The sequence below is a fragment of the Homo sapiens genome, chromosome 19 (genome assembly GCF_000001405.40).
Source record: "Homo sapiens chromosome 19, GRCh38.p14 Primary Assembly".
Classification (NCBI taxonomy): Eukaryota; Metazoa; Chordata; class Mammalia; order Primates; family Hominidae; genus Homo; species Homo sapiens.
In genome coordinates this window covers 38,930,892-38,957,627 of record NC_000019.10, presented here as the reverse complement: position 1 = coordinate 38,957,627, position 26,736 = coordinate 38,930,892, and the positions used below count along the sequence as shown (strand labels likewise).

General features: G+C 50.2%; 2 protein-coding genes and 1 long non-coding RNA gene across 7 annotated transcripts in view, besides 2 other annotated features; 2 read left to right on the top strand and 1 right to left on the bottom strand.

Annotated features, from left to right (window-relative positions):
- Positions 1-16,227, top strand: part of FBXO17 (F-box protein 17) — a 34,342-nt gene extending 18,115 nt beyond the window's left edge. The window contains exons 1-6 of one of the 3 annotated variants that reach the window (NM_148169.3): positions 4,941-5,055; positions 7,292-7,657; positions 8,950-9,061; positions 11,061-11,156; positions 12,524-12,659; positions 14,877-16,227. In NM_148169.3, coding sequence (NP_680474.1) covers positions 5,046-5,055; positions 7,292-7,657; positions 8,950-9,061; positions 11,061-11,156; positions 12,524-12,659; positions 14,877-15,020 — 864 coding nt within the window. In that variant the 5' untranslated portion in view covers positions 4,941-5,045 and the 3' untranslated portion in view covers positions 15,021-16,227. Of the gene's footprint in view, positions 1-4,940; positions 5,056-7,291; positions 7,658-8,949; positions 9,062-11,022; positions 11,157-12,523; positions 12,660-14,876 lie in introns of those variants that run through there. The other 2 variants (NR_104026.2, NM_024907.7) reach the window with 2 other exon arrangements.
- Positions 4,525-4,819: a silencer, noted in NCBI's record as "tiled region #3914; K562 Repressive non-DNase unmatched - State 12:CtcfO". NCBI's record gives its function as "represses a minimal TATA promoter and a strong SV40 promoter by Sharpr-MPRA in K562 cells {active_cell/tissue: K562}" and the evidence as "EXISTENCE:reporter gene assay evidence [ECO:0000049][PMID:27701403]".
- Positions 7,664-7,723: a silencer, noted in NCBI's record as "silent region_10590". NCBI's record gives its function as "represses an Ori minimal core promoter by ATAC-STARR-seq in GM12878 lymphoblastoid cells {active_cell/tissue: GM12878}" and the evidence as "EXISTENCE:reporter gene assay evidence [ECO:0000049][PMID:35858748]".
- Positions 16,230-22,805, top strand: LOC124904713 (uncharacterized). The gene is made up of 2 exons (XR_007067253.1): positions 16,230-16,414; positions 20,776-22,805. It is a non-coding gene; the product is annotated as an uncharacterized LOC124904713 (long non-coding RNA).
- Positions 24,460-26,684, bottom strand: MRPS12 (mitochondrial ribosomal protein S12). 3 transcript variants are annotated; one of them, NM_033362.4, is made up of 3 exons: positions 26,630-26,684; positions 26,285-26,352; positions 24,460-25,295 (listed from the first exon to the last, which is right to left on the bottom strand). In NM_033362.4, the coding sequence occupies exons 2-3, from the start codon at positions 26,331-26,333 to the stop codon at positions 24,928-24,930; spliced, it is 417 nt and encodes a 138-aa protein (NP_203526.1). In that variant the 5' UTR covers positions 26,334-26,352; positions 26,630-26,684; the 3' UTR covers positions 24,460-24,927. The 3 variants fall into 3 exon arrangements, with proteins under 3 accessions (NP_203526.1, NP_203527.1, NP_066930.1); NM_033363.1 differs by having other exon boundaries at positions 24,608-25,295; positions 26,457-26,674; NM_021107.1 differs by having other exon boundaries at positions 24,608-25,295; positions 26,285-26,674.

The following is a 26,736-nucleotide window of genomic DNA, read 5'->3' as shown; positions in this document are numbered from 1 at the left end:
TCAAGTCTGTAATCCCAGCACTTTGGGAGGCCTAGGCGGGCGGATCACAAGGTCAGGCATTCAAGACCAGCCTGGCCAACATGGTGAAACCCTGTCTCTACTAAAAATACAAAAGTTAGCCAGGCGTGGTGGCAGGTGCCTGTAATCCCAGCTACCCGGGAGGCTGAGGCAGAGAATCGCTTGAACCCGGGAGGCGGAGGTTGCAGTGAGCCGAGATCATGCAACTGCACTCCAGCCTGGGCGACAGAGTGAGACTCCGTCTCAAAAAAACAAAAAAGAAGAAGAGTGGGAACTAAGAACTCCTCCTAAGAAGAACTCCAGGAAACTAAACTCTGGTGCACATCACACCCATGCCAGGCAGACTGGTAGACTTGTTTATAAACCTAGGGAATTTATTTATTTATTTTTGAGACAGAGTCGCTCTGTCACCCAGGCTGAAGTGCAGTGAGTGATGTGATCTCTGCTCGCTGCAACCTCCACCTCGCGGGTTCAAGCGCCGGGCCTCAGTGAACTATTAATGCAACTCAGAACCACCTGGAGAAAAGCACAGCTTGGTCTTTGTAAAGTCTGTCTCCACAGCTTCATTCTTTCTGCGGTAGGAATAAAGATGATGTCAGAGGCTGGGCATGGTGGCTCACACCTGTGAAAATTAATATTAATATTTTAAAAATTAATGTGAAACACTAAATTATGTTAGTTGCCATTATTATGACACATCATTTTTAAAAAGTGACAGCAACTATTTTATTTATTTATTTATTTTGAGGCAGAGTCTCGCTGTGTGCAGTGGCATGATCTTGGCTCACTGCAACCTCCACCTCCCAGGTTCAAGCGATTCTGCTGCCTCAGCCTCCTGAGTAGCTGGGATTACAGGCTCCCACCACCATGCCTGGCTAATTTTTGTATTTTTAGTAGAGACAGGTTTCACCATGTTGGCCAGGCTGGTCTTGAACTCCTGACCTCAAGTGATCCACCCACCTCCGCCTCCCAAAATGCTGGGATTACAGGCATGAGCCACTGTGCCTGGCTGACAGCAACTATTTTAGCTGTGACATTTTCATTTAGTGGCATTTATTGGCCCTTATTAAGCCACGGTGCTGAGCATTTAAGCTGGATCAGCTCATGAATTCTATCATCTTGTTTAATGGGCAAAACTCTCCTTTGAGGATGCCCTTGGTTAAGAGGCTTTAATGATCTAATGCTTGTTATCTTCATGTGCCCAATAAGTGCTCAATTCATGTCAGCTATTGTCATTTTTAAACAAATTAAGGTTTTACTTAAAAAAAAGAAATAAGCCTGTGTCAGGCAAGTAGTCCATGAATGTAGCAAAAATTCCTGACATCATCTTTTTTTTTTTTTTTTGAGACAGAGTCTCAGTCTATCGCCCAGGCTGGAGTGCAGAGGCACGATCTCAGCTCACTGCAACCTCCACCTCCCGGGTTCAAGTGATTCTCCTGCCTCAGCCTCCTGAGTAGCTGGGATTACAGGTGCCCACCACCACGCTCCGCTACTTTTTGTATTTTTTGTAGAGATGGGGTTTCGCCATGTTGCCCAGGCTGGTCTTGAACTCCCGACCTCAGGTGATCCGCTCACCTAAGCCTCCCAAAGTGCTGGGATTACAGGTGTGAGCCACCATGCCTGGACTAATATTAAATTAATATCACTCTTATTTAGGAGCCTACAGGGGCTTTTCCTAAGTGCTTTAAAATACTCATTTCATCCTCACAACAGCCCTATGATGGAGGCACCGTTAGCAGCCCCATTTTCAGAAAGGGAAACTGAGGTATAAAGAGATTAAGTGACTTGCCATTGGTCATATAATTTATAGCAAGAAGTGGAGCTGGAGCCGAGCACAGTGGCTCACACCTATAATCCCAGCACTTTGGGAGGCCAAGGCAGCAGGATCCTTTGAGCCCAAGAGTTTAAGACCAGCCTGGGCAACATGGTGAAACCCTGTCTCTACTAACGATACAAAAATAAGCAGGGCCTGGTGGCACGCACCTGTAGTCCCAGCTAATCAGGAGGCTGAGGCACGAGAATCACTTGAACCTGGGAGCCAGAGGTTGCAGTGAGCTGAGATTGTGCCACTGCACTCCAGTCTGGGTGACAGAGGGAGACTCTGTCTCAAAAAAAAAAAAAAAAAGAAAGAAAGAAAATGTTTTAGAAAGAATGGAAGCAGAAAATACTGGGTAGACAGCTCTTTTGAGAAGTTTTACCACAAAGAGAAACAAAGACGCTGCATGCGGTGACTCATGCCTCTAATCCCAGCAGTTTGGGAGGCTGAGGTGGGAGGATCACTTGAGCCTGGGAGGTTGAGGCTGCAGTGAGCCATGATCACACCACTGCACTCCCACCCGAGTGAAGAAGCAAGACCCTGTCTCAAAAATAAAAATAAAAGGCCAGTTGCAGTGGCTCACGCCTGTGATCCCAGCACTTTGGGAGGCCAAGGCGGGCGGATCATGAGGTCAGGAGATCGAGACCATCCTGGCTAACATGGTGAAACCCCGTCTCTACTAAAAATACAAAAAAATTAGCTGGGCATGGTGGTGGGCGCCTGTAGTCTCAGTTACCCGGGAGGCTGAGGCAGGAGAATGGCGTGAACCCAGGAGGCGGAGCTTGCAGTGAGCCGACATCGCACCACTGCATTCCAGGCTGGGCAACAGAGCAAGACTCCGTCTCAAAAATAATAATAATAATAATAATAATAATAATAATAATAATAATAATAATAAAATAACACATTGTCAGGGCAGGCGCAGTGGCTCACGCCTGTTAATCCCAACACCTTGGGAGGCTGAGGTGGGCGGATCACCTGAGGTCAGGAGTTTGAGAACAGCCTGGCCAACATGGTGAAACCCTGTCTCTACTAAAAATATAAAAATTAGCCAGGTGTGGTGGCGGGCGCCTATAATCCCAGCTACTCAGGAGGCTGAGGCAGGAGAATTGCTTAAACCTGGGAGGTGAAGGCTGCAGTGAGCTGAGATCGCGCCACTGCACTCCAGCCTGGGCAACAAGAGTGAAACTCTGTCTCAAAAAAAAAAAAAAAAAACACATTCTCGGCCCGGCGCAGTGGCTCACACCTGTAATCCTAGCACTTTGGGAGGCTGAGGCAGGTGGATTACCTGAGTTCGGGAGTTCGAGACCAGCCTGGCCAACATGGTGAAACCCTGTCTCTACTAAAAATATAAAAATTAGCCAGGCGTGGTGGCAGAGGCCTGTAATCCCAGCTACTTGGGAGGCTGAGGTAGGAGAATCGCTTGAACCCAGGAGGTGGAGGTTGCAGTGAGCTGAAATCGCGCCACTGCACTCCAGCCTAGGCCACAGATCGAGACTCCATCTCAAAAAAGTAAATAAATAAAAAATAACACATTCTCTGCACACACCCTTGCCCACTTTGGCTTCCTCCTGCATGAGACCCTGGTTAAATCCAGCCTTCCTCTCTGCCGTGCCTGCACCCACACAGCTTGAGTGAGCTAAAAAACAACACAGCCCCCTGGCCAGGCTAATTTCAAGTCTGTGAACTTGACCCTCAGGCGGACCCCAATGCTGCCTGGCAGCCATATGACATTTCTCTGATCCCCTCCTTCCTCCTGTCTTCTAGACAACTAATTCACACCTTTTCCCTTCTCCTCTAATCCTTTCCAACACCTCCTCCCCCCCTTTCACTCTCCCTTGGCTTCTTATTTTGCAGAGAAAATGCAAGAGATGAGAAGTGAACTTCCACAGCCACCCCCGCCTCTACCACCTACCTGCACCCTTGCCCACACCCGTTCTCCTGCTGTGACTGTCCCATCACCTGCTCCCACCTTCCCGCCCACTTCCAGCCACCGTCCCTGGTTCTCACCTCTCTCTGCTGCTCATTCAGTTTCCCCCATGCACTGGATCTCCTGTTAGCCCACACAGCATCCTGTCTCCCATCTCAAAACAAACCCTCTCTCTTTTTTTGTTTTTGTTTTTGTTTTGTTTTGAGACAGGGTCTCACTTTGCCGCCCAGGCTGGAGTGCAGTGGTGCGATCTCAGCTCATTGCAACCTCTGCCTCCTGGGTTCAAGCAATTCTCCTGCCTTGGCCTCCCGAGTAGCTGGGATTACAGGTGCGCCACCACACCCAGCTAATTTTTGTATTTTTAGTAGAGATGGGGTTTCACTATGTTAGCCAGGCTGGTCTCAAACTACTGACCTCAAGTGATCTGCCCACCTCAGCCTCCCAAAGTGCTGGGATTACAGGTGTGAGCTACCGTGCCCAGCCCAAACCCTCTCTTGACTTCACCTCCCCTTCTAGCTACAGCCCCACTTTTTTTGCTATTCTTTTTATTTTATTTAGAGACAGGGTCTCGCTTTGTTGCCCAGGCTGGAGTACAGTGGCATAATCATAGCTCACTGCAGCCTCCAACTCCCGGGCTCCAGCGATCATCCCACCTTAACCTCTGGAGTAGGTGGGACTACAGGTGTGCACCACCACACCCGGCTAATTTTTTCATTTTATTTTTTGTACAGGTGGAGTATCGCTGTGTTGCCCAGGCTGATCTCAAACTCCTGGCCTCAAGCAGTCCTCCCACCTTGCCCTCCCAAAGTGCTGGAATTACAGGCATGAGCCAGCGTGCCAGGTCAAGAATGTTTTTAATGATTAACCATGGAATTTAAGCTGGCTAAGGAAGAAATGAGGGCATGGGAGGGTGAGGGGGAGTAAAATATGAAAGGGACAACGGATGGGAGATCACAGTGGGTTGGAAGGATCATGCGAGTGGGGCACTGGAGGGAATGAGGTGGAAAGAAAAAGTGATGGGTGGAGAGTGAGTGTGAGATTGAGGTTCTGAAGAGGCTGCTGTTATTCAAACAAGGTCTGGGTTTGACCACGAGAGGGAGATGTTGGGGAAGGAAAAAGTCACTAGAGAGAGGTCAGGGAACAGAGAGGTTGGGGCTGCGGAAGAACTATCTGGTTATAGAAATCACTGAGAATGATGCTAAGAGCAGCGGGAGCGGCCGTGAGCCCAGAGCTAAAATTAGGGAGAAGAGAGGAGTCATGATCTGGGTCAGCAGATGACGCATGAAGCAAGGTAGTGATGAGATTCATCGCTGGGGGTTTTGGGGAGGGTGGAGGGAGAATGGTCAGGAAGTAGCTCCCAGGAGCACGGAGACCTCCCCACTTGGAAGGCCCACAGGAGAGCTGGGTTCCAGTTAGAGCAAGAAGGTGGTAGGAATGTTCAGAGAAGTAACTGAGGCAAGAAGAGATTTTGTTGAAGATGGGTCATGGGTTCCAAAGGTCACAGTAGCTGGCACACATTGGGGTATGGGGTAGAAATGGTTTCTTCCGCAGTGGGTTTCCTTGTGGGTCTGTAACCCGACTGAGGTTTGGCCGCTCAACACTCAAAAGCCAAACTCAGGCCAGGCGTGGTGGCTCACGCCTGAAATCCCAGCATTTTGGGAAGCTGAGACAGGTGGATCACTTGAGGTCAGGAGTTTGAGACCAGCCGGCTAACATGGTGAAACCCCATCTCTACTACAGAAATTACTGGCTCGGTGTGGTGGCACACATCTGTAATTCCAGCTACTTGGGAGGCTGAGGCAGGAGAATCGCTTGAACCCGGGAGGCGGAGGTCGCAGTGAGCCAAGATTGTGCCACTGCACTCCAGCCTGGGCAACAGAGTAAGACTCGGTTTCAGAAAAGAAAGCCAAACTCGGGCCGAGCGTGGTGGCTCAAGCCTATAATCCCAGCACTTCGGGAGGCCGAGGTGGGTGGATCACCTGAGGTCTGGAGTTCGAGACTAGCATGGCCAACATGGTGAAACTGTCTCTCCTTAAAGATACAAAAATTAGCCAGGTGTGGTGGTGCATTCCTGTAGTCCCAGCTACTCGGGAGGCTGAGGCAGGAGAATCACTTGAACCTGGGAGACAGAGGTTGCAGTGAGCCGAGACGGGCCACTGCATTCCAGCCTGGGTGACAGAGTGAGGCTGCCTCAAAAAAAAAAAAAAAAATAGAAAGCCAAACTCAAGAGAGATGACAGTTGGTGGGAGGAAAAGCAAGTTTATTTGGAGAGCCAGCAAACCGAGAACACAGTGGACTATCATCCTAAAGTACCATCTTAAATCAGTACAATTTTTTTTTTTTTTAGGGGCAGAGGGAAGAGAAGGGCATTGTGATCAAGAGGTGACCAACAGGCCAGGCGCAGTGACTCATACCAATTCCAGCACTTTGGGAGGCTGAGGCAGGAGGATCACTTGAACCCAGGAATTCAAGACCAGCCAGGGCAATGTAGTGAGACCCCATCTCTACAAAACAATAAATAAAATAAAAAACTAGCTGGGCATAGTGGCATGCACCTATAGTCCCAGCTACTTGGGAGGCTGAGGCAGGAGGATCACTCGAGCCCAGGAGGTAGAGGCTATAGTCCTGGTTTCTAGCTCCATAAAAAAGTAATAATAATAAAAATAAGGAGGTGACCACTGCAGACATCTGAGTGCCAGCTAGGGTCCGAGGAGGTTGATGACTTCTTTGTCCTTGGTTGGGTCACAATGCCCCTATAAATCTTTGAAAAAACAGGCTGGGCGTGGTGGCTCACACCTGTAATCCCAGCACTTTGAGAGGCCGAAGTGGGTGGATCACGAAGTCAGGAGTTCGAGACCAGCCTGGCCAAGATGGTGAAACCCCGTCTCTACTAAAAATACAAAAATTAGCCGGGCGTGGTGGCGGGCGCCTGTAGTTCCAGCTACTCGGGAGGCTGAGGCAGGAGAATCGCTTGAACCCAGGAAGCGGAGGTTGCAATGTGCCAAGATCGTGCCACTGCACACTCTAGCCTGGGCAACAGAGCAAGACTGTGTCTCAAAAAAAAAAAATCTTTGACAAAACATAGTTGTTTACATACTTCTTTAATCCCAGAGTTAGTTTTAAAAACTACATGATTGCTGTTTTTGCATATTATCTCAGCGGTCTAAAATTAACCTAGCCATGTGCAGGAATGGGTAAAGTCCCCTTAAACAAAAATGGGGTTAGTTATGTTAGTTCTTTTGCCATTTCACTGGTCATATACCTGAAGCGCTTAGCCTGACACAATTGAACGCCAGACGGAAGCCGTGATCAGCGGTCCTGACGGGGGTCAGAGTCAGACCAGGGGTCTTTTACCCAAGTGGGGAAGATTGGGAAAGGCCTAGGATCAGAGAGGGAAATGGGTCCCTGGTTGCCCATGGACCTAATGGGGTCTCTCGAGCAGCAGGGGCCTTGCGCCCTGGGGGACAAGGTAGGGAGGGGGTGGCCTGGCTGCGCTGACCCGCCTACCGACCCCTCTCGACCTGCAGGACTCTGGCTACTGGAGATGGGCGCCCGGCTATCGCGGCGACGGCTGCCGGCGGACCCATCCCTGGCCCTGGACGCGCTGCCCCCGGAGCTGCTGGTGCAGGTGCTGAGCCACGTGCCGCCACGCTCCTTGGTCACGCGATGCCGCCCAGTGTGCCGCGCCTGGCGCGACATAGTGGACGGGCCCACTGTGTGGCTGCTGCAGCTGGCCCGCGACCGCAGCGCCGAGGGCCGCGCACTCTACGCAGTGGCTCAACGCTGCCTGCCCAGCAACGAAGACAAGGAGGAGTTCCCGCTGTGCGCCCTGGCGCGCTACTGTCTGCGCGCGCCCTTCGGCCGCAATCTCATCTTCAACTCCTGCGGAGAGCGTGGGTGACGGGGGCGGGGCCCAGGAGGCTGAGGGGGGCCGCGCGAGCGAGGCGGGGGCGGGGCCGGGACAGAGTCTGAGAGATGTAGCCAATGGGCGAGACCGCTGGAGGAGCCAGGGGGCGGGGCTGAGGGACGCAGTGCCTGGGCGGTAGGCCCGGTGGGCGGGGCTGGAGAAGGTGAAGCCGGGAATCCGAACGAGTGGGCGGGGCAAGGCAGGAAGACCCTGGCTGGGCCGGGGGAGAAAGCAAGTAGTTTGGTATGCAGAGGGGATGCAGAACAGGACAGGGGCCAGGCGCGGTGGGAATGGCAACGCTTTGGGAGGCCAAGGCAGGAGGATCGCTTAAGCCCAAGGAGTTCAAGGCTGCAGTGAGCTATGATCGTGCCATTGCACTACAGCCTGCGTGACAGAGACCTTGTCTCAAAAAAAAAAAAAAATGGTGGGGTGCAGTAGCTCACGCCTGTAATCCCAGCATTTTGGGAGTCTATGGTGGGAGGATCGCTTGAGGCCAGGAGTTTGAGACCAGCCTGAACAACAAAGTGAGACTCTGTCTCTAAAAAATTTAAAAATTAGTCCAGGCGCAGTGGCTCACGCCTGTAATCCCAGCACTTTGGGAGGCCCGAGGGGGCAGATCACTTGAGGTCAGGAGTTCAAGACCAGCCTGACCAACATGGTGAAACCCCATCTCTACTAAAATACAAAATTAGCCAGGTGTGGTGGTGCACGCCTGTAATCCCAGCTACTTGGGAGGCTGAGGCAGGAAAATTGCTTGAACCTGGGAGGCGGAGGTTACAGTGGGCTGAGATCATGCCATTGCACTCCAGCCTGGGCAGCAAGATTGAAACTCCATCTCAAAAAAAAATTAAAAAATTAAATTAGCCAGGCGTGGTGGCATGCACCTGTGGTCCTAGCTACTCTGGAGGCTGATGTGGGAGGATCGCTTGAGCCCAGGAGTTTGAGGCTGCAGTGAGCTATGATGGAGCCACTGCACTCCAGCCTGGGCGACAGAGTGAGACCCTGTCTCTCACACACACAATGAAGAGCAGGACTGAAGGAGAAAGAGCAAGTAAGGGTGGCTGAAGAGAAGCTGAGTGGATGGGCACCGCTGAGAGTCACAGTTGTGGGGTAGGACCAGGAATACAGAATAATGGGAGGAGGAGTCGGTAGGAGAAACCAGGGAGGATTGGAGCACAAGAGGGAGAGGCTGGTGGACAGCACAAGCTGGCTGGTTGCGGGGTCTCTTCTGGGCAGGCTGGCAGGTGAACCATATGTTCAACTCTTGTTTTCCCACAGAGGGCTTCAGAGGCTGGGAGGTGGAGCATGGCGGGAACGGCTGGGCCATAGAAAAGAACCTAACACCGGTGCCTGGGGCTCCTTCGCAGACCTGCTTCGTGACCTCTTTCGAGTGAGTGGCCCAAGTGAGAGGCCCCGATCCCTGGGGCAAAGGCCCCAAAGAAAGGGACCCTACCCCCCACACTGTCCTCATCGTCACCTTCACCCTCTCCTTCCCCCATTTATTTATTCATTGATTCATTCCATCAATCAACAAATACTTGTTGAGGGTACTGTTTCATATGCCAGGGATACAAGGAAAGATCAGGAAGGTTAGCAACCACAGGCAGCAATGCTCTGTGCATCATCGCCTGCAGTTTGTGAGACAACAGCAAGACAGCTTTGATCTAAAGACAGGGTTTTGGGCCGGGCACGGTGGCTCTCGCCTGTAATCCCAGCACTTTGAGAGCCCGAGGTGGGCAGATCACTTTAGGTCAGGAGTGCGAGACCAGCCTGGCCAACAGGGGGAAACCCCGTCTCTACTAAAAAGACAAAAATTAGCTGGACGTGGAGGCTGAGGCAGGAGAATCGCTTGAACCCAGGAGGCAAATGTTGCAGTGAGCCGAGATTGCACCACTGCACTCCAGCCTGGGCGACAGAATGAGACTCTGTCTCAAAAAAAAAAAAAAAGGGAACATGGCAGATTAGCACCCAAGATGGAGTCGCTTTTGCCTCCACAAGGAGTTACTCTATACTAGACACTTTACATATAATTCTGGCAACAACCCTGTGACATAGATACTATTATTGCCCCCACTTTATAACAGGAAACTGAAGGCCGGGCACGGTGGCTCATAGCTGTAATCCCAGCACTTTGGGAGGCCGAAGTGGGAGGATCTCTTGAGCCCAGGAGTTTGAGGTTGCAGTGAGCCTAGGATCATGCCACTGCACTCCAGCCTGGCAACAGAATAAGACCTTGACTCAAAAGAAAAGAAAAAATGAGAATCTGTTCTCCATGGAATGATGGTGCCACCTCTACAGTTTATGAAGTTTCTGTGTATACCTACGTCTGTCCCTGGCACTCTGTTTTTTTTGTTTTTGTTTTTGTTTTTTGAGATAGAGTCTCATTTTGTTGCCCAGTCTAGAGTGCAGTGGCGCAATCTTGGCTCACTGCAGCCTCTGCCTCCCTGGGTTCCAATGATTCTCCTGCCTCAGCCTCCCGAATAGCTGTGACTACAGAGGTGCGCCACCATGCCTGGCTAATTTTTGTATTTTTTGTAGAGAAGAGGTTTCACCATATTGACCAGGCTCGTCTCTAACTCCCGACCTCCGGTGATCCGCCTGCCTCGGGCTCTCAAAGTGCTGGGATTACAGGTCTAAGCCACCGCGCTCAGCCGGTTCCTGGCACTTTGTTCTATTCCATTGCTCAACTTACCCATCCTTCCACCAATACTGCACAATTTATGTTATTATGGCACATTCTAGTTTGAGGAGAAGGACTGTTTACAAAGTTGTAGGCAGGAGCCCCTGAGCTAGTAACAGTTAGGAAAGGAACGTTACCACCCCTAGACTGCTAGAGGTGAGGGGAGGAAACAGTTACTGGAAAATGAGGAGAGAGTGCCATGGAGATTTGCTTTTTCCTTGGGGGACAAGGCAGTCCCTTGAGAAGGACCTAAGAGGATAAATACCCTGATTTTAGTCACCTCTTTCACTTCCATCCCCTGCCGGAGCATCCCATTGGCTGATCCAACAGGAAGCAATGGGTGACAGAGACAAGGCTGTCCAGCTTTAGACCCGGGGCCCTCACACTTTAGGAGGCCACAGAGCTCCCCGCTCACATGTCTAGTATGTGGCCTTCATTTGTAGTCATGTCCTGTCCCACAAAGATGAGGGTCAGGCTTTCATAGAGGTCAGCTGCCTGGAGCCCGCAGCAGGGTGGAGAATGGCAAAGGGACTCCAAGAGGCCAAGGAGAGATGTATAGCCCATCATGCATCTTCAGGTCTGCTAGAGCAAACCCTGAGGGCTGCTTTAGAGAGGGTTATCAAGGGAGACTTCTTGGAGGAGGTGGCTTCTGACTGTGACTTGAATGCCAGGACTGTTTGCCCTGCCCCCTGCCATCTCTCCTTCCCAGATGGTGCTCCAAGAGGCAGCTTGTGGACCTGGTGATGGAAGGGGTGTGGCAGGAGCTGCTGGACAGCGCCCAGATTGAGATCTGTGTGGCTGACTGGTGAGTGAGGAGCGGCACCCTGCCCCAGAGCAGCAGCAGGCTTGGCAGCGGCTCTGCAACAGGGGCTCATTTCCCGCCCCATCAACCCCACGGGTAGCGGCTGTCACTGTGCACCCTTTGTGATGAGGCTGAGAGGGGAAGTGATGCAGAGCCGGGGAAGGTAGAGCTTTGGAGAAGCCAGAGCCCCCACTCTGCACTCCTGCCCACCCTCATCCCAGCAGGCTGGGGTGGTCCACAGGGGGCCACTGACTGGCTTGATACCCCTCTGAAACGAGACACCTCCCCTGACCACCTTGTGGATGCCCAGGGTCTCTGAAGGGGTGGGAGCATGGTGCCCTGTGAGCTGAGGCTCAGGGAGCATAGTTGGGACAGGACTGGCTTCAGAGCCTACAGGCTTAGGATGAATGCCTTCTTCCCAAAACACCCAGGTTCTGCCCCAAAGCATTCCAGCTCCTCCTTCAGGCTGTGGCTCTTCCATAGAAAATCTGGTCTCTTCCCTGGGGCTCTGGCTCTTCCCTGAAGTCATCAGGCACCTGCCCTGCATTGTGGTTCTTCCCCAGAGCATCCTTTCCCGTCCCCCAACTACCTACCCAAAAGCCTCCAGAATCAACCGCAGGACCACCCAGGCTCCTCCCCCAGGACCACCCAGGCTCCTCCCCTGCTCTGGCTCCACCCCAGGACCACCCAGACTCCTCCCCCAGGCTCTGGCTCCACCCCAGGGTCACCCAGGCTTCTCCTCCAGGTTCTGGTTCCACCCCAGGACCACCCAGGCTCCTCCCCCAGGACCACCCAGGCCCCTCCCCCAGGCTCTGGTTCCACCCCAGGACCACCCAGGCTCCTCCCCCAGGACCACCCAGGCTCCTCCCCTGCTCTGGCTCCACCCCAGGACCACCCAGACTCCTCCCCCAGGACCACCCAGGCCCCTCCCCGAGGCTCTGGCTCCACCCCAGGACCACCCAGATTCCTCCCCCAGGACCACCCAGGCCCCTCCCCCAGGCTCTGGCTCCACTCCAGGACCACCCAGACTCCTCCCCCAGGACCACCCAGGACCCTCCCCCAGGCTCTGGCTCCACCCCAGGGTCACCCAGGCTCCTCCCCCAGGCTCTGGCTCCACCCCAGGACCACCCAGGCTCCTCCCCCAGGCTCTGGCTCCTCCCCAGGACCACCCAGGCTCCTCCGCCAGGCTCTGGTTCCACCCCAGAACCACCAAGGCTCCTCCCCTAGAGGTTCCCAGGCCAGGACGTCTCCAAATGTGGTCCAGATGTGCAGGACCTTCATCAAGATGGAGCCAGCCCTCAGCCTCCCGCCCCGAAACCCAGAGAGCTGGCTGGGTGACGGGGGCATAGAGGCTGACTGCTGCCTGGCAGGTGGGGCGCTCGAGAGAACTGCGGCTGCGTCTACCAGCTCCGGGTCCGCCTTCTGGATGTGTATGAAAAGGAAGTGGTCAAGTTCTCAGCCTCACCTGACCCGGTCCTTCAGTGGACTGAGAGGGGCTGCCGACAGGTGGGTCCAGACTAGCTTCCAGCTCCCCCCGACCCGCTAAAGGCACACACGCCCAGCCTCTCGTCTGCTCGGTTTCCCTTCTGTCACTCCTGGATATCTATAATCATAACAGCTAAGAAGTATCGAGCCCTTCTTACATCCCAAGCCCTGTGTCAAGACGCTTACATATCGATTCATTTCATTAGCAAAACCCCTTAATGTTCAACAAACACTGATTGAGCACCTACTGTGTGCTGGGCACCACTCTATGTGCTGGAAATGCAGCAGTGAAGCAAAATCCTATCTCCATTCTAGAGTTGAGGAAACAGAGGCACAGACAGGGAGGTTATGTGACTGGTCCAGTGCAGAGCTGGACTCAAGCCCAATCTGGCACCAAGACTATGCTGTCTTGATCCTCACACCTCAGTTACCAAAGTAAATGTTTCGGCTGGGCACAGTGGCTCATACCTGTAATCCCACCACTTTAGGAGGCCAAGATGGGAGGACAGCTTGAGGGCAGGAGTTTGAGGCCAGCCTGGGCAATATAGCGAGACCTCCATCTCTACAAAGAAATTAAAAATTAGACGGGCATGGTGACTTGCACCTGCAGTCTCAGCTACTCAGGAGGCTGAGGTGGGAGGATGGTTGGAGCCCAGTTGGTCCCACTGCACTCCAGCCAGGGCAACAGACTGAGACGCTAACTAAAAATAATAATAATAATAATAATAATAATGAGTCAGATCAGAAGTCTCACTGCTTGTAATGCTCCTGTGGCTACATCTCACAGTAAAAGCCAAAGTTATGCAGCCACGGAAAAGAAATGAAGCATGAATTCACACTGCAACGTGGATAAACTGAAAACATGATGCTGAAAGAGGCCAGACATGAAATGACAAATACTGTATGATTCCACATATATGAAATGTACACTAAGAAGATTGGCGACTGCCAGGGGCTGGGGGAGGGAGGTCTTGGAAATGACAGCTCATGGATGCAGAGTTTTTTCCTGGGGTGATGGGAATTAGGTAGTGGTGATGGCTGCATAATATCGTGAATCAACTAAAAACCACTGAATTGTACACTTTAAAAAATGAATTTTGGGCCGGGTGTGGTGGCTCATGCCTGTAATCTCAGCACTTTGGGAGGTCAAGGCGGACAGATCACTTGAGGGCAGGAGTTCAACACCAGCCTGCCAACACAGTGAAACCCTGTCTCTACTAAAAATACACAAATTAGCCAGGCACGGTGATGGGCGTCTGTAATCCCAGCTTCTGGGGAGACTGAGGCGGGAGAATTTATTGAACCGGGGGAGGTGGAGGTTGCAGTGAGCTGAGATCATGCCACTGCACTCCAGCCTGGGCGATGGAGCGAGTCTTGGCCTCAAAATAAATAAATAAAATAAAATGGTAAATTTTGGCTGGGCGCAGTGGCTCACACCTGTAATCCCAGCACTTTGGAAGACCATGGCGGGTGGATCACCTGAGGTCAGGAGTTCAAGACCAGCCTGACCAACATGGCAAAACCCCCGTCTCTACTAAAAATACAAAAATTAGCCGGGCATGGTGGTGCGCGCCTGTAATCCCAGCTACTCGGGAGGCTGAGACAGGAGAATCGCTTGAACCTGCGAGGTGGAGGTTGCATTGAGCCAAAATCATGCCACTGTACTCCAGCCTGGGCGACAGAGTGAGACTCCATCTCAAAAATAAATAAATAAATAAAAAGTTTGTTTTACGAAAATTTTATCTCAACTTTTTTAAATTGGAAAAAAAAAAAAAGCCAAAGTCCTCCTGTGGCCCACAAGGCCATGATCTGCCCATGACCTCCCTGACCCCTCTCTTACCTCTCCCCTCACTCAGCTCCAGGCATTCTCCCACCTCAGGGCCTTTGCGCGGGCCGTTCCTGCTGCCTGGGACACCCTCCAGAGCCCCTCCCGGCTCCCTCTCCTCCTTCAGGTGTCACCTCTGTGGGGCCTTTGCTAACTCACTCTACTCACATTCCTGCCACCTTCCTGGCAGAATGCCCCTGGCCCCTCACCCCCACCTATCTCCAGTGTCTGGGCCCCCTGCTAGAATGGCACTGACACCAGGGCGGGGTCCTTTTCCGGTTTTATTCACTGCTCCGTCCCCAGCAAACTAGCGCAGGACTGGCACCTCCTCAGTCCTTTGGGCCTATCTGTTGAAGTGGAGGAAGAGAAGGGGCCCGCAGGCCCTCACCCTCTCACTCCCCTTCCCCCTGCAGGTCTCCCACGTCTTCACCAACTTTGGCAAGGGCATCCGCTACGTATCTTTTGAGCAGTACGGGAGAGACGTGAGTTCCTGGGTGGGGCACTATGGCGCCCTTGTGACCCACTCCAGTGTGAGGGTCAGGATCCGTCTGTCCTAGCGACTGGACTACTGCCTGACGTTGTCAGTCAAGACCAGCCTTGCAGCCAGGTGCAGTGGCTCACACCTGTGGAATCCCAGCACTTCAGGAGGCCGAGGTGGGAGGATCACTGGAGCTCGGGAGTTCAAGACCAGCCTGGGCAACATAGTGAAACCGTCTCCACAAATAATTTTTAAAAAATTAGCCAGGCATGGTGGTGCCGCCTGTAGTCCCAGCTACTCAGGAGGCTTGGGTGGGAGGATTGCCTGAGACCAGGAGGTTGAGGCTGCAGTGAGCCGTGATTTCACCACCACTCCAGCCTGGGTGAGAAAGCAAGACCCTATATCAATGAAAAAAAAAAAAAAAAAGACCAGCTTTGCAGCCAGAAGCCAGAGGATACCCAGGGACAGTAGGGCTCCCAGGTGGCTGGTTCTCAGCACACCTTCCATGAATCTGCTTGCTGCTGCTTCAGTGTGGTGGCCATCATGCTGTGTGACAAACCAGGCTGTTCACAGCTTCCTCAGCCCCCCAGAAGGGGAGTGTCAGGAAGAGACATTTAGTTCATTTGCCTGCAAATTTTCTTCTCCTGCAAGGATCTCGGTGGACTCAGTCACAAAACAAAGGCTAAACCAGGATTTATAAGAGAGGGCTTATAAATCCCTCTGCCGACGCAGGGAGCAGAGACTTGCCGGCATGTTTTGGGGGTAATGATCGTGGGCAGGGAGCAGAGGTCCGCTGAGGCAGTCTGTCCTTGAGACTAACAAAGTCATCTGCTGTTTGGGGAAATCTCTGGTGTTGGGAACAGGCCCCCAAATCTGGCCATAAACTGGCCCCAAAACTGGCCATAAACAAAATATCTGCAGCACTGTGACATGTTTGTGATGGCCATGACCCCCACCCTGAAGGTTGTGGGTTTACTGGAACGAGGGCGAGGAACACCTGGCCCACCCAGGGCGGAAAACCGCTTAAAGGGGTTCCTGAACCACAAACCATAGCATAAGTGATCTGTGCCTTAACGACATGTTCCTGCTGCAGATAACTAGCCAGACCCATCCCTTTATTTCAGCCCATCCCTTTATTTCCTGTAAGAAATGTTTTTAGTTAATCTATAATCTATAGAAATAATGCTTATCACTGGCTTGCTGTCAATAAATATGTGGGTAAATCTCTGTTCAAGGCTCTCAGCTCTGAAGGCCGTGAGACCCCTGATTTCCCACTCCACACCCTATATTTCTGTGTATGTGTCTTTAATTCCTCTAGCACCGCTGGGTTAGGGTCTCCACAACCGAGCTGGTCTCGGCAAGTGGCACCCATACGTGGGGGCTCGAACCCAGGTCGAAGAGTCACTGGAGCGACGGTTGGAGAACGTGGAACTAAGCTGGAGGACACCCGAGTACTCTTAAGCAATCCCCATGGTGAGTAAGAAGGGGAGCTCGGAAGCATCAGGGTAGCAATGGGACAGGTGTGGGTTCTGGTTCATTCCACCTTGGAACCTTTTCACACTGATGAGGAGCAGGGAGAGTGTAATGAAGTAATGGAAGAGGTAACAGAGCAGGTTTGTTTGCCAGCTAAAGCTAAAGTGGCAAAGGAGGAAGAGGTTCATCCCTACCCTTCTGCATCCCCTCCTTAGTGTGAAGAAAAAGAGTGACCTGACCCTCCAGATCTTTCTTTTCCAGAGGACACTGGGTGAAAAGTAGTTGCCCCAGTGACTGTTTGGGCAGTGCCTCAAGCGACTGCTCTCAGTTCCATTCAGGCAGGAATTCAGCAAGCTAGAAGAGAGGGTGATTTAGAGGCTTGGCAGTTCCCTGTTAGAATACATCCCCCAGATCAACAGGGAAATATTACAGCTACATTTGAGCCTTTTCCTTTTAAATTACTCAAAGAATTTAAACAAGCTATTAATCAATATGGACCAGGTTCTCCTTTTGTAACGGGACTGTTAAAGAATGTTGCTGTTTCCAGTCGGATGATTCCTCCTGACTGGGACGCTCTTACTTGAGCTTGTCTAACTCCTGCTCAGTTCTTACAATTTAAAACTTGGTGGGCAGATGAAGCTTCCATTCAGGCTCCTCGCAACACCCAGGCCCAACCTCAAATTGATATAACTGCACACCAACTTTTGGGGGTCGGCGGCTGGGCTGGTTTAGATGCACAGGTGGTCATGCAGGATGATGCCATAGAGCAGCTTAGAGGAGTGTGCATCAGAGCTTGGGAAAAAATCACTTCAGGTGGAGAACAGTACCCTTCCTTTGGTGCTGTAAAACAGGGACCAAAAGAACCGTACACAGATTTTATAGCTCGGTTACAGGAGTATCTTAAAAAGGTGATTGCAGATTCGGCTGCTCAGGATATAGTGTTGCGGTTATTAGCTTTTGACAATGCTAATCTCAATTGCCAGGCTGCTCTGTGACCTATTAGAGGGAAAGCACATTTAGTTGATTATATCAAGGCCTGAGATGGTATCAGAGGTAATCTGCATAAAGCTACTTTGTTGGCACAGGCAATGGCAGGACTGAAAGTGGATAAAGGAAATACTCCATTTCCTGGAGCTTGTTTCAACTGTGGGAAGCATGGGCACACTAAAAAAGAATGCAGAAAAAAATCAGCAAGTCAGGCCGGCAGACAGGGGAAAAAAGAAAACTGCTGAGCCTGATATATGTCCAAAATGTAAAAAAAGGAAAACATTGGGCTAATCAGTGTCACTCTAAGTTTGATAAAGATGGGAACCCGATTTCGGGAAATGCCATGAGGGGCCCATCCCGGGCCCTGTTCGAAACCAGGGGCATTTCCGCCTCAGGCCACTCCTTCACCCCTGTACAATGTCTGTCCCCTGCCACAGCCAGTAATGCCACAGTAGATTTATGCTGCACAAAAGCTGTGAGCCTTCTGCCTGAGGAACCCCCGCAAAAAGTTCCAACAGGGGTCTGTGGACCCTTGCCAGTGGGGACAATAGGATTACTTCTAGGGAGGTGTAGTTTAAATTTAAAGGGGGTACAAGTACAAACAGGAGTCACTGATTCAGATTACAATGGAGAAATTCAAATTGTTTTTTCTACTTCTGTTCCCTGGAAAGCAGAGCCAGGAGAGCGCATAGCACAGCTCCTGAATGTGCCATATGTGGGAATGGGAAAAAGTGAAATTAAACGAACAGGAGGATTTGGAAGCACAAATAAACAAGGCAAAACAGCTTATTGGGTGAATCAAATTACTGATAAACGTCCTACCTGTGAAATAACTATTCAGGGAAAGAAATATAAAGGTTTGGTAGATACAGGAGCGGACATTTCATTTCTCTATAGCAATGGCCGTCCACATGGCCAATTCAACCTGCTCAGTTTAACATAGTTGGAGTTGGTAAAGCCCCTGAAGTATATCAAAGTAGTTATATTTTGCATTGTGAAGGGCCTGATGGACAACCTGGGACTATTCAACCAAAACTTCTGTACCTATAAATTTATGGGGAAGATATTTATTACAACAATGCGGAGCACAAGTTCTAATTCCAGAACAATTATATAGCCCTCAAAGTCAACATATGATGCATGAAATGGGGTATGTCCCTAGTATGGGACTAGGAAAAAATTTACAAGGTTTGAAGGAACCGCTTCAAGCAGAAATACAAGTTTCCGCCAAGGTTTAGGATATTATTTTTGATGGCGGCCATTGTTAAGCCTCCAGAACCTATACCTTTAAAATGGTTAACAGATAAGCCAATTTGGATAGAACAATGGCCGCTAAGTAAAGAGAAACTGAAGGCTTTAGAGGAATTAGTTACTGAATAATTAGAAAACGGACACATAGCTCCAACATTTTCCCCTTGGAATTCTCCAGTTTTCGTAATTAAGAAAAGAATCAGATAAACGGAGAATGTTAACTGACTTAAGAGCCATTAATTCAGTTATACAACCCATGGGTACATTACAGCCAGGATTGCCTTCTCCTGCTATGATTCCAAAAAATTGGCCTTTAATAGTCATAGATTTAAAAGACTGTTTCTTTACTATCCCCTTAGCTGAGCAAGACTGTGAACAGTTTGCATTTACAATTCCTGCAGTAAACAACCTGCAGCCTGCTAAGCGTTTTCACTGGAAAGTATTGCCACAAGGCATGTTAAACAGCCCAACAATTTGCCAGACTTATGTAGGGCAAGCAATTGAACCTACTCGTTAAAAGTTTTCACAGTGTTACATTATTCATTATATGGATGATATACTTTGTGCTGCCCCCACTCGAGAAGTATTACTCCAATGTTATGATCACTTACAAAATTCGATTTCTTGCGCTGGTTTAATTATAGCTCCTGACAAAATTCAGACTACTACTCCTTACTCCTACTTGGGGACCTTAGTAAATGACACTACCATTGTGCCACAGAAAGCAACCATACATAGGAATCAATTGAAAACATTAAAGGACTTTCAAAAATTACTAGGGGACATTAATTGGATACGACCTGCTCTAGGCATTCCTACCTATGCCATGAGTAATCTATTTTCTATCCTTAGAGGAGATCCTGGTCTCACAAGCCCTCGGTAATTAACAAGAGAAGCTGAGGCAGAGCTGCGGCTAATCGAAAAGCAAGTCCATAAAGCTCAAATAAATAGATTAGATCCAGAGAAGACTCTAGATTTGCTAATTTTTCCAACTCAGCATTCACCTACTGGTGTTATTGTTCAAGAGTGAGATCTTGTAGAGTGGCTTTTTCTTCCACATACTAATTCACGGACTCTAACTCCTTATTTGGATCAAATTGCTACTATGATAGGAAATGGGAGAACTCGGATTGTTAAATTACATGGATATGATCCTGGAAAAATTATTATCCCTCTCACAAAGGCACAAATACAGCAAGCTTTTATAAATAGTCTTACTTGGCAAACCAATTAAGCTGACTTTGTGGGTATTCTCGATAACCATTTTCCTAAACAAAACTGTTTTAATTTTTGAAATTAACTAATTGGATTCTCCCTAAAATAACTAAATTTAAACCAATTGAAGGTGCTGAAAATGTTTTTACAGATGGGTCTAGTAATGGTAAAGCTTCTTATTCTGGCTCAAAAAGTAAAGTTTTTCAGATGCCCTATACTTCAGCTCAAAAAGTGGAGCCTGTAGCTGTAATTGAGGTAGTGACTGCTTTTCATATGCCTATTAATGTGATTTCTGACTCTTCATACGTGATTCATTCCACACAATTAACTGAAAATGCTCAGTTACAATTTCCTGCAGATGAACAACTGATGATTTTATTTACCCAACTGCAAACAGCAGTTAGGAGTAGAATGCACCCTTTTTACATCACTCACATTAGGGCTCATACACCTCTTCCAGGCGTCACCTTTTGCAGTGTTTTGCAGTGATGGGCATTCCAGCTTCTATTAAAACAGATAAAGCCCCAGGCTACACTAGCCGAGCTCTAGCTACATTTTTCTCTATACGGAATATTAAACACATTACTGGTATCCCATATAATTCTCAAGGACAAGCCATAGTGGAAAGAATGAATCTCTCCCTGAAACAGCAGTTGCAAAAGCAAAAAAAAGGGGGGAAAACAAGGACTACGGGACACCCCATATGCAACTGAATCTAGCATTGTTAACTTTAAATTTTTTGAGCCTGCCTAAAGGCCAGATCCTATCAGTAGCTGAACAGCATCTACAGAAACCAGCTGCAAAGACAGAAGCAGAACAACTAGTTTGGTGGAGAGATCCAATAACAAAAAGTTAGGAAATAGGTAAAATAATAACTTGGGGTAGAGGTTATGCTTGTGTTTCTCCAGGACTGACTCAACAGCCGATTTGGATACCATCAAGACACCTGAAACCTTATCATGAGCCAGATGCTGAGGAAGAGATTCCGGGAGGAAACTGAGGACCCCCCCCACCCCCGGTTGCAGCCATGTCGAGACTGACGCTGAGGAAGACCCCAACTGTCACGAGCAACACCTGTCAAACACAGCCACCCACCTGGAGACAGATCAAGAAGCTGTCACAGATGGTGGAAGAAAACCTGAGGAAAGTGGGACAACCAGTCGCAATGAGTAATTTAATGGTAGCTATGATAGCGATGATCACCACTGCCATGAGTATTCCTTCAATAAGGGCTGACACAGAGGACAATTATACTTATTGGGCATATTTATCAATCTTGGCTGGCAATAATGCCTGGATGTAATCACTCTATGACACAGTTATACAAGCTTTCTGATCTCATAATAAATCTGCTCCTATAATTGAGGCATACTGCCCTCAAAAACATATTTGTAAACAGGATTGGACCCAGTTAGCAAAAATGAACGTACTTGTTTAGGAAGATTGCTTTGCAGAACAGGCAGAGGTGCTGCACAACAATTCCTATGGAATCATTATTAATTGGTCACCTATGGGGATGTTTAGCTTGAACTGCACCTCTCAGTCTGCATGCCATGGCCACACTGTGATCAGCTCATCTGAACAAAATGGTCAGATGATAGAAATGGTAAGAAATACAGCAAGAGTTCCTATTATCTGGAACCATGGCAGTATAGTGGCACCTCAGCCTCAAATGATATGGCCTGCTCTAGGAGCTAAACATAAGCATTTGTGGAAACTGTTAATAGCTCTTAATAAAATCAAAATTTGGGAAAGAATAAAAAAGCATCTAGAAGGCCACTCTACAAACTTGTATTTGGATATTGCAAAATTGAAAGAACAAATATTTAAAGTATCCCAGGCACACGTGAACTTAATGCCAGGAACTGGAGTGCTTGAAGGAGCTGCAGACAGATTAGCAGCTAGTAACCCATTCAAATGGATAAAAACACTTGGAGGCTCTGTGATTTCAATGATGATTGTGCTTTTACTCTGTGTTGTTTGTCTTTGTATAGTGTGCAGATGCGGATCCTGACTCCTGTGAGAAGTAGCTCACCGTGACAAAGCTGCCTTTGCTTTTATCACTTTGCAAAACAAAAAAGGGGACATGTTGGGAACAGGCCCCTGAATCTGGCCATAAACTGGCCCCAAAACTGGCCATAAACAAAATCTCTGCAGCACTGTGACATGTTCATGATGGCCATGACCCCCACCCTGAAGGTCGTGGGTTTACTGGAATGAGGGCAAGGAACACCTGGCTCACCCAGGATGGAAAACGGCTTAAAGGGGTTCCTGTACCACAAACAATAGCATGAGCGATCTGTGCCTTAAGGACATGTTCCTGCTGCAGATAACTAGCCAGAGCCCATCCGTTTATTTTGGCACATCCCTTTATTTCCCATAAGAAATGCTTTTAGTTAATCTATAATCTATAGAAATAATGCTTATCACTGGCTTGCTGTCAATAAATATGTGTGTAAATCTCTGTTCGAGGCTCTCAGCTCTGAAGGCTGTGAGACCCCTGATTTCCCACTCCACACCCTGTATTTCTGGGTGTGTGTCTTTAATTCCTCTAGCGCCACTGGGTTAGGGTCTCCACGACCCAGCTGGTCTCGGCACTCTGGGATCCTGCCACGGGGCTGTGTAACCAGCCATCTCTGTGCAACATGCCCAGCACTGCCTGTCAGCATCTCCTGTTCAGGTCAGGCTAGCACCTCTCTCATCAGAATTCCAGAATTCCATCAGAGGCCAAGTCCCCCACCCCCACCTCCTGCCCTTGCTTTGGGGGCAACTTCCTGCAAGGTAACACTTCCTTTTCTCCACACTCCTGTATACAGACTCCTGGAGCAGAGTGTGCCATGAGGAAAAGCTCTCCCATCCCCCCATCTCCCTCCACTTCTCTATTTCTCAGCTAGGCATGGCCAACAAACTAGCTCAATAAAACTGGTGCCAAATATGAGGGGATGGGCAATTTTTATCTGTAATCAGTGCACTTATCTGCCACCAGCTCTGATCCTAAAAGACCTTGTGGCCTCATGTTTACAATCAGGAGACCCTCAGGAGGCTGTGTGTTGAGCGTCAAGAGGAACTCGGAGACAGCTATGATGCTCCAAACAGCTCTCAAGCATGCACCCTTATCAGCGCCATTTGGTCCAGGCTCAGAGTGTAAACAACCTGCCCAAGGTCACCCAGCCAGTAAGTAGGGGAGGCAGGGCTTGGAGCAGTGCTGGGCTCCAGAGCCCAATGATATAAACACAGTTCCAACATTGTTTTTTCTTTTTTCTTTTTTTGAGACAGAGTCTCACTCTGTCACCCAGGCTGCAGTGCAGTGGTGCTGATCTCAGCTCACTGCAACCTCCACCTCCCAGGTTCAAGCAAGTCTCCTGCCTCAGCCTCCTGAGTAGCTGAGATTATAGGCACATGCCACCATGCCCGGGTAATTTTTGTATTTTTAGTAGAGACAGGGTTTCACCATGTTGGCCAGGCTGGTCTCAAACTCCTGACCTCAAGTGGTCGGCCCACCTCGGCCTCCCAAAGTGTTGAGATTACAGGCATGAGCCACTGCACCTGGCCCCACTTCTTAAATCTTACATGGCCAAAAACATGATCAGGTGCAGTCAGCATTATCATCAGTGCCATTTTCCAAGGGAGGAAACCGAGGCCCATAGGGGGAACCAACATAGCCAGGTCTCATAGCAATTATGACGGGGAGCAGAATTTGAGCTCAGGTGAACCCAGTAATAATTTTATATTATTATATAATATAATAGTGGCTCACACCTATAATCCAGCATTTTAGGAGGCCAAGGTGGAAGGATCTCTTGAGGCCAAGAGTTCGAGACCAGCCTGGACAACAAAGCCAGATTCCCACTCTAAAAAAATGGAAAAGTTAGCCAGGTGTGGTGGCACACACCTGTGGTCCTGACTACTCAGGAGGCTGAGGCGGGAGGATCTATTGAGCTCAGGAGGTCAAGGCTGAAGTAAGCTTTGATCATAGAACCGCACTCCAGCCTGGACAACACAGTGAGACTCTGTCTCTCTCTCTACACAAACACACACAAACACACACACACACACACACACACACACACACGTATAAAATAAAAGAACAGCTCCCGGGTGTGGAGCAGCACACCCCATTGAATCCTTTCCACACCCCTTCCACATCAACATTACAATTACTGCCATTTTCCAGCTGTCCATGCTTGAGGGCAGAGTTTATGTGCCCAGAACCCATGGCCTGCAGGAAGAAGACCTGGGCCTCTGTGCCACCTACCTGACTCCTAAGCTTAAAATACAGTAGCCCTCTGCCAGGCGTGGTGGCTCACGCCTGTAATCCCAGCACTTTGGGAGGCCAAGGTGGGCAGATCACCCGAGCTCAGGAGTTTGAGACCAGCCTGGCCAACATGGTGAAACGCTGTCTCTACTAAAAATACAAAAATTAGCCAGGCCTGGTGGTGTGTGCCTACAATCCCAGCTACTCGGGAGGCTGAGGCAGGAGAATCATATGAACCCGGGGGGCAGAGGTTGCAGTGAGCTGAGATCAGGCCACTGCACTCCAGCCTGGGCAACAGAGTGAGACTTTGTCTAAAAAAAAAAAAAAGAGCCCTCCGTGCGTGTTATGCACATAGAGCATCGAATTTAATCTTCACCAAACCAAACAAAGGAGATACCACCAATGGAGCTATTTTCTGGAGGAAACTGAAGCTCAGAGATGTCCACTGCCACAGCCACACAGAGGGCAAATACTCCACAAGGGGATTTACATCACAAGCGCCAGGGTCTGTTTATTAAAACCCCTTCCCAGCAGAGGGCAGTACAGTGTCTTGTCCCAGCAGAAAAGGTCCTTCAGGCCACCCCTCTAAACACAGGAGCCAAGGGTGTTGACAGAGGGGCACCCTTTGCACCCCCAGGACTCCTATGGCTTAATAGTGGTCCTGATGGAAGAGGCGGAGCCAGGACTTGAATCCATGAGTGGCTGCCTCTAGAGGCGCAAAGGCCAGCATCGGAGGACCCTGTGGCAGCCAGGAGCGGAAGGTTCATGTTCTGCAGGGGCGCCCAGCCCACTGTGCCCCCAGCCGTCACTTCTTCTGCACGTGGCCACAGTCGTACTTGCCACGCACAACGGTGAGCTTGACGCCTGGCAGGTCCTGGGTGCGGCCGCCCTCCACAAGGACAATCTGGTGCTCCTGCAGGGTGTGGCCCTCCCCAGGGATGAAGCAGACGGCCTCGCGGCCAGTGCTGAGCCGCACTCGACAGCACTTGCGATTGGCTGAGTTGGGCTTCTTCGGCTTGCGGGTAAACGTGCACAGGACCACACCCTTCAGCTGCGGCCGGCCTTCCGTGGGGCCCAGCTTCCGAGGCGGCCGCTTGGGGGGCCCCAGGCGGTGCATCTGGTTCAGGGTAGCCATGGAGCAGGTAGCCCAGAGCCGGGGAACCAGAGCTGGGCCTGGAGAGGGCCGAAAGGGGTTATTATCCCAGAGAACAGATCTTAGAGTAGTAGCAACTCAATTTTGGTGTTTTAGGCATTGTTTAAAGCACTTTACAAAGATGCATTTGTTCACATCTAATGTTATCTACAGACAAAAGTAACTCTTTATTCTTCAAGGAAGCATTACCTTTTTTTTTTTTTTCTTTTTTTTTTTTGAGACAAAGTCTCACTCTGTCGCCCAGGCTGGAGTGCAGTACCTCAATCTTGGCCCACTGCAACCTCTGCCTCCTGGGTTCAAGCAATTCTCCTGTCTCAGCCTCCTGAGCAGCTGGGACTACAGGCACCCACCACCACGCTCGGCTAATCTTCGTATTTTTAAGTAGAGACGGGGTTTCACCATGTTGGTCAGGCTGGTCTCGAACTCCTGACCTCGGCCTCTCAAAGTGCTGGGATTACAGGCGTGAGCCACCACGGCTGGCCAGGAAGCATTATTTTTAATGCTGTTTAAAATAATAGTAGGCTCAGTGGCTCATGCATGTAATCCTAGCACTTTTGGAGGCTGTGGAGGGTCACTTGAGCTCAGGAGTTAAGGCCAGACTGGGCGACACAGGGAGACCTCCCTCTCTACAAAGAATCAAAAAGTTAGCTGGTTGTGGTTCTGCAGGCCTGTGGTCCCAGCTACTTGGGAGGCTGAGGCGGGAGGATCACTTGAGCCCAGGAGGTCGAGACTGCAGTGAGCTGTGATCACACCGCTGCACTTCAGCCTGGGCGACAGAGGGAGATCTTAAATAAATAAATAATAAAACTGACCCAAACGCCGCTTGACACGCAGTAGCCCTCCATGCAGCTGCTTCCCACCTCTTGCTCTAGCAGCCCTAGCTCTGCCAAAACCCCACCGTGTTTTTCCACCCCCGTTTCCCTCGGGGCTCCGACGGAGGCACACAAGTCCAAGAGCGAATAACCCTCCCCCTCTAGCCTCGTCCCTGAAGCCCAAGTCCCCCACTTACCACAAGTTAGGGACGTGTTGAGGCCATGGAGAAGGCCAGACCAGGACATCCTGCCACCTGGGCCGTCCCTGTGGTAGGGGATAAGAGACTCAGAAAGGAGGAAAAAGTGACCGATCCGCAAATGCTCCCCGATCCGCTCTCAGGACTTTCTGGCTTAAATCAAAGGAAATACCTCTATAGGTCTAACCACAGGCCCTCATGCTGCTAACAGAAAGTCCCTCCGTAAATTTAGCCTCGCTCTGAGTGGGTTCCCGAGGGCCCAACCACTCTCGCCCGCACGCAGGAAGAACTGGGAAACTGGGGAGATGGCCTGGTAGATTTGGAGGACCCCAGGATTCCACCGACCTCACAGGACCTAAAGGTGAGGTCGCGGACACGCTGAATCCAGCTTCTAGCCTCTTCCGGGCGCTATCCGTGCAGGGATTGGCTGGTTCTGCCTCGCGTCACTGAAG

What these genes read in the sequence shown, in the direction of transcription:
- MRPS12 (NM_033362.4), bottom strand. Translation starts at nt 26,333, where the DNA reads ATGTCCTGGTCTGGCCTTCTCCATGGCCTCAACACGTCCCTAACTTGT. An exon ending in CAACACGTCCCTAACTTGTG is followed by an intron (nt 25,296 to 26,284) that starts GTAAGTGGGGGA and finishes GGCCCTCTCCAG; the next exon opens with GCCCAGCTCTGGTTCCCCGG.